The sequence below is a fragment of the Homo sapiens genome, chromosome 16 (genome assembly GCF_000001405.40).
Source record: "Homo sapiens chromosome 16, GRCh38.p14 Primary Assembly".
In the NCBI taxonomy this organism is placed as follows: Eukaryota; Metazoa; Chordata; class Mammalia; order Primates; family Hominidae; genus Homo; species Homo sapiens.
The window spans coordinates 52,408,436-52,420,292 of record NC_000016.10 but is presented as its reverse complement, the minus strand read 5'-3'; the positions used below and the strand labels follow the sequence as shown (position 1 = coordinate 52,420,292).

The following is an 11,857-nucleotide window of genomic DNA, read 5'->3' as shown; positions in this document are numbered from 1 at the left end:
TCTTTTGTTTTTATTATTATACTTTAAGTTTTAGGGTCCATGTGCACAACGTGCAGGTTTGTTACATATGTATACACGTGCCATGTTGGTGTGCTGCACCCATTAACTCTTCATTTAACATCAGGTATATCTCCTAATGCTATCCCTTCCCCCTCCCCCCACCCCACAACAGGCCCCAGTGTGTGATGTTCCCCTTCCTGTGTCCATGTGTTCTCATTGTTCAATTCCCACCTATGAGTGAGAACATGCCGTGTTTGGTTTTTTGTCCTTGCGATAGTTTGCTGAGAATGATGGTTTCCAGCTTCATCCATGTCCCTACAAAGGACATGAACTCATCATTTTCTATGGCTGCGTAGTATTCCATGGTGTATATGTGCCACAGTTTCTTAATCCAGTCTATCATTGTTGGACATTTGTGTTGGTTCCAAGTCTTTGCTATTGTGAATAGTACTGCACTTCTTATTTCTACCTTGCATGAATTATATTAGAGGTTCAACAAGAATTCTAGTTTAAATCCTATGTATTCCACTAAGATTTGCAAGACTGACCCAGAAGGACATTTTGTTTTTTACCTAAAAACCTGTATTTTACTGAAAATCTGTATTTAAACTTTATTGCTATTTGCCTGCATTCCTTATCTTCCTGTTTCAAGGCCCCCAAGAAAGTATCTGACTGACTTGACATCTTGGTAGTCTCGATGGTATGTGGATGATTTTAGCTGAAATAAAAGAAAATCCTAGTTAACACTGGATTAACAGCTGAAGACATTTACTTTTCTCACATAACAAGAGCTCTGGAGGTCAGTGATTCATGGATGGCTTGGTTGTTTAATGGTATACATAGACCTCTAGCTCTTTCTGTTCATCCATCCTGCTATCTATAGTTTCTTGGTTTTGCATACTCAAAGTTGTCACTTCAGATTTGCAAGATGGAGTCTGTACTCTAAGTATCAAGTTCTTACATGAGAATATCCAAAGGAAGAAGGGAAAATTAATTTTCTCTCATATCAGATCTTTATCACATGACCACACCCAGATGCCAGGGAACTTGCTACAGTAGGGATGAGACATTTGTATAATAGCTTCTGTCATGGGACTGGACAAGAGTGAAGGGGGATTAGAATGCCTATTCATATGCAGTCTGTAGTTGTAGGCTAGAGAAGATGCTTATTAAACACTCACTGAGTGAATGCATGCACAAATGAAAGATTTTAGTGTGTACTTTTTATATTAAATGCTATTTATAGGGTCCCAGCTTTAAATTGGAAATTATGCCACATGAACAAGAGATGACTCTTGATCTCCAGTTGCTTATTCTTTAGGAAGCTGTTTTCTTTGCTTGTTTTCTTATTTTCCTAATCATTGAAACATCATGTTACTAATATTTCACTAGTGTGAGTAACAGGATCAGAGGCAATATGTGGGAAAACTGATCTGGTTAAAAAAGATTTTAAAGTCATCTCTCATTTATATGTCATACTAATTTCTTCTTTTGTGTGCATGTAAAATTCTTTATTTCCTCACTATTTGAGGCATTCCATAAGACTCTGAATTCTTCAGATATTACCCAGTTATTCTTTCCATTATTATTTCTCACAATATTGATTGGGTTTTTCTCTGTGATAGTATTATACTATGGATTTAGCATGCATTATCTCATTTAATCCTCCCTTTACCCATTCACATTGCAAATCTAGCATTTGAATGAAGATCTGTCAGACATTAAAAATTATTTCCTTTACTAGAATTCTGTACTACTTCCCATAGAGATCCTCTTACCTATCTTTTTCTCTGTGAAATATTATTTATCCTGTGTTTCAAACTGCTCTCTCATATTAATGGTGCTGGACTTCCACCTCTGACCATGAGGAAGTAATTGCTATCTAACCGTGGTTTCAGACACTGGGCAATAAATGCACTGGATTGTGAGTTCTGAAAGAAGCGAGACCAATGAGGTGAGACTAATGATCACCAAAACTTTCTGCTTGAGACGTTTTATGGATTCCAATAAATTGGGAAAGCCCATTGAAAGCAAATCAGACCCCCTGAGTTCAGGATAAGGAGACTGGGGAGGCCTAGGCAGCTGGAATTTGTGGGCCAGAGTACAGAAGAAGAGGAGGTATGCTTAGAAAGAGCTCTCAAAATTTTCATAGGAGTTCTTGAGCCTTTTGGTTAAATACTAAAATGCATGTACACAGTAAGAAACTTCATGAGATTAGCCCAGAAAAACTACTGAAGCTGAACAATTCCTAGATCTCACACTGGACTGGGAGACATTCAACTTTTCCCATACCACACGGGAAAAATTCGTTGAATATTTACACTCAGTAGAAAGCCCAGAGGGCCATAGCTTAGAAGTGGGATGTAGCCCTCGAGTTAAACCTACTCTATACTCTCTGTAACAAAATTTACAAACAAATCTCGAAAGGAACAAGCAAATCTACATGAAACTTCCTAATAAAACAAAATTCAACACTCTTCGAAGACAATCAAAATCTAGAAACTCAATATTGTAACATTGATAATTTCTGGAATACTATTACAAAATAATAGAAATGATAAGAAAAAGGGGAATGTGACCCATAACTACAAGAAATCAATCAATAGAAATAGACTCAGAAGTGACAGAGAAGATGGAAATAGCAGACAAGACTTTAAAACAGGTCTTATATATAGGCTCAAAAATTTAGATAAAAATATGCATGCAGTTGAAGAGGGAAATGAAAGATATAAAAAAGAATAAAACATATTGAAATGAAAAAATACAATATTGAAAATAAAAAATTCAATGGGTTGGCTTAGTTAGACACTGATGAAAAATATTAGTGAACTTGAAGATACAGCAATAGAAACAAACCAAACTGAAACAGAGAAAAAAGAATAAAAATAAAAATAAGAAAGCCTCATTGACCTATGAGGCAATATACAAAGTCCTAATATGTGTCACTGAAATCCCAGAAAAGGGAAAGGAACAGGAAAAAATGTTTTAAGAAATGATGACCACAAAATTTCAAATTTGATAACAACTTGAAATTTACAGATCCAACAAATTCAACAAACCAAAACCAGGATAAATGCAAAGAAAACTGCATCAAGGTACAACAAGGCAAATTGCTGAAAACCAGTGATAAAGGAAAAATCTTAAAAGCAGCAAGAGAAAAAAGTATACATTGTATATAGGGGATCCAAGGTAAGAATGAATGCTGACTTCTCATCAGAAACAATGCTGGCCAGAAGACAATAGAATGACATCTTTAAAATGCCAACAAACAAACAAAAACTTCGCCATTAACCTAGGATTCTCTATCAAGAGAAAATACCCTTCAAAAAGGAAGAAAAACAAAGATATTTGTAGGCCCAATAAAAACTAAGAGAATCCCTATCAATGGTGCTCATAGTAGATAATTTAAGACCACATCTCTCTATCTTACCTGACTTCTGTTTCCTTTATTGACCCTACTCTTCTAATGCCATGCGATCCAGGTAATACTCTCTGTATTTGACTATGCCACCTAGTGAGATTTAAACATAGCTCCTATATGAAATAATTCCAGTGTTCTGATTTGGAATCTTGGCACTGGAAACTCCAATATTCACCTTGTCTTTGATCTTTTCAGTTTTTTATTTGTTCTTTCCAATTCTTGGTGGATTTGTAAGCTCATAGAAGGCAAGGACTATGTATTATTCATTTTTCTGTAGCTTTTTTGTAGCACTTTTAGCCATATGCGCTTTAAAAATGTTAATTTATAATTGACATTGAAATTGTACTCCAAAGAGTTAAAGAAATAAATGCCTAACAGATTCTTGAGTTTGTAGGATGACAGATTAAAAAAACAACTACTTGCTGAAATGCTGGAACTCCCTCTGCTTGTAGGATAACAAAACTGGCTGAAATTGATTGGAACCAATATGGCTGACTACAGTCTATGCAGAATGAACTTGCTGACATCACAGTCCAAATTCCCGCCACATGGTTCATACTATCTTCTCCTGAAATTGCATGTGTGACTCATGAAGAGGCATGAAGAGATAACAGTACATGCTTGAGGACTCTCCAGACCTCCTCTTTCCCTCCCCCAATCATGTACTAAAGCCAGAATCCACCCTTGAACATTTTCTAATAAAAATACTGCCTTGAAGGTGGCACCAGGAGACAGATTTGAGCTGGACTCCTGTCTCCTTTTTGGTTGACCTTCAATAAAAACCTTTTCTTTTCTCAAAAACCCAGTGTCATTGTATTGGCTTCTAGAGCATCAGGCAGTGAGCCTGTTTTGCTTGGTAACAATATTAGAAAATTGGTAAATCAAATTTGTTACTTTTTAATGAATACTCTGCCATTATCAGGTAAGGATTTTTGATATTGTTGTAGTTTTTTGTTTTTGTTTTGTTTTGTTTTCAGCCCAGGATGTTTAGCAGATAAATATTTTTTCAGAGAAGTGATAGTTATGAGAAAAAAAACAAACAACCCCATCAAAAAGTGGGCAAAGGATATGAACAGACACTTCTCAAAAGAAAACATTTATGCAGACAACAGGCATATGAAAAAAAGCTCATCATCACTGGTCATTAGAGAAATGAAAATCAAAACCACAATGAGATACCATCTCACACCAGTTAGAATGGTGATCATTAAAATGTCAGGAAACAACAGATGCTGGAGAGGATGTGGGGAAACAGGAACACTTTTACACTATTGGTGGGAGTGTAAATTAGTTCAACCATTGTGGAAGACAGTGTGGCGATTCCTCAAGGATCTAGAACCAGAAATACCATTTGACGCAGCAATCCCATTACTGGGTATATACCCAAAGGATTAGAAATCATTCTATTATAAAGACACATGCACACTTAGGTTTATTGCGGCACTATTTGCAATAGCAAAGACTTGGAACCAACCCAATTGCCTATCAATGATAGACTGGATAAATACAATATGGCACATATACACCATGGAATACCATGCAGCCATAAAAAAGGATTAGCACATGTCCTTTGCAGGGACATGGATGAAGCTGGAAACCATCATTCTCAGCAAACTAACACAAGAACAGAAAACCAAACACCACATGTTCTCACTCATAAGTGGGAGCTGAACAATGAGAACACATAGACACAGGGAGGGGAACATCACACACAGGGCCAGTCGGGGGATGGGGGGGCTAGGGGAGGGAAAGCATTAGGAGAAATACCTAATGTAGATGATGGGTTGGTGGGTGCAGCAAACCACCATGGCACGTGTATACCTATGTAACAAAACTGCATGTTCTGCACATGTACCCCAGAACTTAAAGTATACTAACAAAAAAATAAGAATGAGTTTTATTTTCTTAAAACAAAAGCAAAGCAAAGAAAAGAAAGGCGGAACACCAGTACTGTGGGAATCATTGGTGGAAAAGCAGTTTTGGTTTTATTATGACACATAGATGTTTCCTCTGTTAGAATGTAGCTTCATGAGGAGAGATATGTTTTTGCTGTTCTATTCACTATTGTATCCCTCATATCTAGAACCATAGTGTCCACTCTATGAATCTTTGAATGACTGAATCAATAGCCATTGCATAACACCTGCCCATCACGGGCTCCTACTCAGAAAGCTATTTCTAAGGAAAGCTTTTCACCAGGGAGAATTAGCAAGAAATAGCCTCACACAATTATTAAGAAAATTTTAAAAAGGATCAAAATGCACATAAACATTTGACATAGAACTTATGAATTATTTTATTATGCACTACTAGTAAACATTATCATGTCTTCATTGGGGCCAAGAATATGATATAATTGTGTGTTTGTTCCTTTAATATTTTGAGAAAATAAGAAAATATGATGAGGGGGTAGTGGGCAGTATTTTACTTTGGAAATAGATGGCCTGAGGTTTGAATCTGAATCTGGGCTTTATTACTTACTAGCTCTGCAACCTTGATAAGAGCTTGTTGTTTCCCTATCTTTAAAACACAATAACTTTTTTGCAAGGAGGTTGTATAATGAAATGTATTATATGAGACACAATGCTTTGCTCAGGAGGGTTTAAGAAATTATAGGTCTTGTTTTGGTGAAACTGAGGTTTCCTTCTGCTTTATTAAAACCTCATGTAGCCCAACATTCGAACTCCTTAAAACTACCTAAAAGGCCTTATATAATCTGGCCCTGACGGTCTCTCTGTCCTGGCTTACTACCTCTCCCTTCTTACGGGAAAAGGGGAGTGCTTGCCTCCTGTCTCTTCTTTCCATGGACCAACCTGTCCCTGCCTCAGGGCCATTGCATTTGCTGCTCTCACTGCATAATATGTTCTTTGAAAAACTGGCTTCTATTCAGCTAAAATGTCATCTATTTATCAAGGCCTTTCTCTCTTTTTTTAATTTTTTTTTTTTTTTGAGACAGGGTCTCACTCTGTTGCCCAAGCTAGGGTGCAGTGGCTTGATCACGGTTCACTGCAGCCTCAAACTCCTGGACTCAGGTGATCATCCCACCTAAGCGTCCCTAGTAGCTGGGACTACGAACACATGTCACCATGCCTGGTTAATTTTTGTAGATTAATTTTTGTAGAGACAGTGTTTTGCCACATTGCCCAGGGTGGTCTTGAACTCCTGGGTTCAACCTTGGCCTCCCAAAGTGCTGGGATTACAGGTGTGAGCCACTGCACCTGGCCAGCAAGTTCTTTCTTGACCTTCCAAATGAAATCTCCATCGCCATCACTTTCTATTAAATCATCCTGTTTTATTTTCTTTATACAACATAGAGCTCTCTGAAATAATCTCATTTATTTATTTGTTCACTTGGATATTGCCTATCCCTTTCCACTAAGATGAGCATTCCTAGAAAGCAAAAACTGTATCTGCTGAAGCCCTAGTGCCTAGAACAGTGCCGGATGTATAAAAGGTTCAGGAAATATTTACAGAATAGACACATTTTTATTAATCATTATCTTCTCTTCTACCTATTTGAACAAAAATAACTAAATGAGTCTGTTTTTCATTGTGGTTTGAAATCCTGACAATATCTAACTGATTAAACTGAGAGTTAAGTAGATAGAGATGTTAAGAAAGAGGAAAGGTCTTGAAGAAGAAAATTCCCAAATTTCTTTTCCCCAAAGTAGTACAACTGATTTTCAATGTTTACTTCAGGGTCCCTTTTCAGCATTCGTTTTTTTCCTCTATCATCAATCATTGTCAATTTGAAATAGTACAATACTTAGGGTCATTTATCTAGACCTATTGGAGTCTAAAATTATGCAGCTCAGTCAAATATATGTGAATAAAGACTGTCATTTCTGATTAATGACATGTGACTTGAATGTCTTACAAAATCATTTGTGCCATCCAAGCTTTACAGAAAGGTTATTATGTAAGGTCTTCCCCTAATGTTTCTGCTTTTCCCTCTAAGAACCCTAGAGGATCCAATTTCTCCATAGGAGAAAACATGGATGCTTAATGATTTCAGTCGTAATTGTTACTCAGGTCCTTGGATTGCTAGACCAAGAGTGTTTTTCAAGTTGAAAATTCTCTTCCACTGGATGGTTAGGCAAGCCTATGATGTTGCTGTTTTGCAATTTTTGTTGCCAACATAGCCTTCCCTATTATTGAAAAAATAATCCATGTAAGACACTAATCTTATTCAGTTGATGCAGAAAAAAGAAGAGTGAAAAACATGCCAACTCTTTGTCAATTACACTTTCCATGAATCATCAACTCTCTTCTTGAAGCATAAAATTCCACTTCAGCATAGTCCCAAAAACATGAGAAAAAAAAAAAAGATTTAGAAAGAAACTTTGGATAAGAAAAGGTCAGGACTGAAAGAATGAAAAAAGAGATTTTTTTTTTTTTATAAAGTAACACCATGTCTACTTCTCCTAGGTGATATTACCCAGTCTCTTAGATCATTTCCTCACAATCTCTTTGTGGCTTCTTTTTTTATCACTGGGAACATAAGAGGAGACCATTGGCACCCATCAGTCGCATGCCTCTAAGGTATGACTAGAGCAAGTGGCTGGGAGTATGTGTTGAGAGATGGGAATGCTTCTTCTCTACTCTTGATGTTTCCTTCAAGGCAGAGGGAACTCCTTAGGTATGGCACTTATGGTCTTACCCTCTCTATCCTTTGCTTGGGGAGGTGGAATGACATTTGATTGTAATTGTTAATGGAACAACCGGGTATAGTTGGCTCCGTTCTGACTTTATTTATCTTGGAAGTGAGCTGTCCACAGGGAGCATAATTTCTCTGCTTCTCCTTCTACCCTAGAAGAAGTGGGGAGGTGAAGCGTCCCTGGTTCAGTGCTGCCAACACTAGGAAATTAAGTCTTCCTAATTTGGGGATTCAGTATTAGTAAGCTCACATGACCATCATTCCTGATGGGTCATCTTCCATGCTGGTCTGTATTAATTTATGAGTGATATTTTGGCTTTCATTTATTTTCTTTGTTTTTTCAAAGTATGTAGAAGTCAGTTGGGTTTGAGGGATTCTGGTTTGAGAGACCTCCCTCAGAGACCCAAATAATAGATATGTCCTCTTGGGTCATAGGAGACAAATGACAGAAACTCACAACATGATATTTTCAAAGTTCAATAGCATCTTGACCCCTTCCCAAGAACTCTATGCATAATAAGCATCTCCAGTTCAGTTTTTTGAGAAATGTCACATAATAAATTAGGAAGTACCTACTGTGTTTTAAGCTTTGTTTCAGGTTTTGAGGTGAATAAAAAAAAAAAAATAAAACATGGCCCCTAATTGGAATATTGTACTTAGGGTTGAAACTCATTTAAAAAATCAAATAGGCAATAAACAGATGAAATTGTTCAGAAAAAGAGAAAGAAGTAAAGATGGGTGGCTAGGGAAGACTTCTTAGAGAAGATGTCATTTGAATTGCTCCTTTAAAGATAAATAGATTTAGAATGAGGAAGGATGAATAGAATTAGAATGAGGGAGAAGGAGCCATTTTAACCATAGCTCTCTTGTTTGCAAGAGATAGAATTATATTCAAACTAGCTTAAGTGAAAAAGGGAAGGCCTTTGTTCACATCTGAAAAGTCCAGAGGTGAATGTGTTTCGAGCATGGCTGGCTCCATGGAATCCAGTGTTGTTCTGAGAGTTTAGTCTCATCTTCTCCACCTATTGGTTTGTATCTTCTTTAACTTATGTTGGCTTCGTTCCCAGGCAGGCTGTCTCTTTGGTGGCAAGATGGCTGCCAGGATTTCCAGATTTAAATCCCATTAGCAACCCAAACAAAAAGCAAATCAGTTCTAAAAGTCCTGGAATTCAGGCTAACAGACTTCAATCGACCCAATTGTCCATCCTTGAAGTATTCATTGTTACTGTCTGATCATGATTCTCTGTTGACTGGAGATTTGAGTCATATGGATTGAAAGTAGGGGAAGTGTATTTCTCCATGGAAATGTGGGGTGCAATCAGCAAGACACTAGGGGAGTAAATGTTGGACAGACAAATGCAAGACATGTTTACTGTAGGAGGTAAACCCATAAAGGTAGAGGGGAAATTCTGCTTACCTAAGAGATGCTCTACAAATATAAGAAAATATCAGGAGTTGGATATGGAATGGGAATTGAAGTAAAACCTGATTAGGACATCATTGGGGAAGAAAATGTGTACTTATGAAACAAGGGAAAATAGTGACTGATTAGAATGTAAAATTATCTTGGAAATGGTGAGTAAATAAAGACAGAGAAGGAGAATGGACTAAAACACAGAGGGACTAGGAGTTAAACTAGAAGCTCATTAGATTTTATGCACTATGTAAAATCAATTAGCCACTGAGAAATGTTAAATATCTTCTTTAAACGTTGCACCACATTATTTGTTATGTCAATATGCTAAAAAGACCTCCCTATCTGTTTTCCTTTTTTTTGGAGGGAAAGGTACTTGATTCACCTCCTAAGGAATTTGAGGTAAGCCAATCAGGTAAAGTTCTTTTCCCTGACCCATGACTGGGTCAGAAGTGGTGAGCATGTCACCCAACTCCATCTCATGAGAGGTAAGGGGAAGTCTGTTGGGGAATTTCTGCAGAACATTTTCTCTTTTCTAAGACAGGTCTAAGTAAAAATATTATTTTTTCTTTTCCCATGGGAAACTGGCCTTGATACCTAGAACTGTTGAACCCTTTTACTACCAGTCTGAGGATGAAGCTCACACTAGGAAGATGTAGGAACCCAGGTCCTATTGTCACTGTCAAGCCGGTCATTGTAGAATAATCTACTCCACTTTGGGTTTTCTGTTATGTGAGATAATACATATCTTTATTGTTTCAGCCAATTTGAGTTGGGTTTTCTGTTATTTGCAGCCAAAAGCAACCCAAAAGATGTACTTTTTGTACTGAAATTGTGGTCATAGAGACCCTTATTAAAAGTGATTTATTTACTTTTCTATTATCTATACAATAAAACTCTAATTAAAATATAAAAGAAAATGTTATACTCTCATGCTGAAGTAAGGCACAGAATTGTGTGTGTATATATATATGTGTGTGTGTGTGTGTGTGTGTGTGCGTGTGACAATTAAATGGAGAAAAAAGGACTGGAAGAAAACTGGCCAAAATCTTAATAGTACTACTGTCTCTTTATGGAATATAACAATGGATGATGTGATATTTTTCTTCTTTCTATTTTTTCCAAATATTATATTGAAAAATCTCATTGCTTTTATAAAAATGAAAAAAATCTAAGTTTTTTTTTCAAGATCAACCCGAATTCAATTACCCTGAATTTTGAGGAATGGGCTATTTTTGACATTTTAATCATCTGGGTAATTCAGAACCCTTTTGATTTCAAATTTTGTGATGACACATTGTTCTGAAATGTATGAGTCACTTTTCTATCTTAGTAAATTGTGTAGTAACCATAATGAAATTTTTCTTCACTGATGGCAAATATCTCAGGCTTCAGGTCCTCTTTCTGAGGGTCGAGGCCTGGAGATAGAGATGGAGCCGGTGCTGGAAATTAGGCATAATGTGTAATGACTGAACACTGCCAAAGAAATTGCCTTCCCTCTCTGTCTTGTAAGTGAGTTCCTGATAGCCATATATTATTTGAATGACTTGCCAAATATGTATTTTTAAATTGTTTCATACTTCTTTGAGAAAAAGTTAATTAAAAGGAAAAATATACATCACTATCATATAGTGAAAAACAGTGTCATTTGACATAAATAAAAAGCAACCCATAAACACAACCCAAATAACATTTAATAATATTAATCATATTATGTCTTGATGCTGTTGAATACTAGAGGTTCTGAGCCTGGGCCCTGCTCTGTCTTTATTTTAAAAGGAAGATTAACAAAGGTTAGAGAGAAAATAGAGTCTCTGTTCATAACAAACAAAGTTTTTTTGAACAGTGACAAGGATAGAAAAAGATTCACTTTTTCACCAAGAGATTCAATATTATTTAAAATTACATTCCACTGCCATTTTAAATCACACCTTCCAGATCATGCGAAGTTACTTGTCTACCACTTAACATTTGTGTGTCACCAGTGGTACCTGCTGCATTCCATTTTTTAGGAGACAGGAAATTACATCAGTGATTATTGACTCTGGCTACACATCAAAAGCACTTGGAGGGGACACACACACACAAACACACACACACACAGTTCTCAAATATTAACATGCATCAGAAGGGCTTGTTGAAACAAAGGGTTTCTGACCCAGTAGGTTTGGCACAGGACCTCAACATTTACATTCCTAACAAGACCCCAGGTAACACTGACAATCCTGCCTAAAACCACACTTTGAAAACCACTGCACTAAGCGGTAGAGGGGCCCATGCATTACTAACTTCCAAATCATGTTGCTTTCTCCATTTTGTTGGGGCCAGCACATGTTGGTCTATACAATAAGCAGAAGACTAGAGC

General features: G+C 36.8%; 1 long non-coding RNA gene across 1 annotated transcript, besides 1 other annotated feature; it reads right to left on the bottom strand.

Moving 5' to 3' along the window:
• Positions 1-426: 426 nt before the first annotated feature.
• LOC105371262 (uncharacterized) lies at positions 427-3,503 on the bottom strand. The gene is made up of 3 exons (XR_933573.1): positions 3,431-3,503; positions 1,779-1,931; positions 427-718 (listed from the first exon to the last, which is right to left on the bottom strand). It is a non-coding gene; the product is annotated as an uncharacterized LOC105371262 (long non-coding RNA).
• Positions 6,968-8,155: an enhancer, noted in NCBI's record as "VISTA enhancer hs161". NCBI's record gives its function as "enhancer in: hindbrain (rhombencephalon)[3/4]" and the evidence as "EXISTENCE:transgenic organism evidence [ECO:0001131][PMID:17130149]".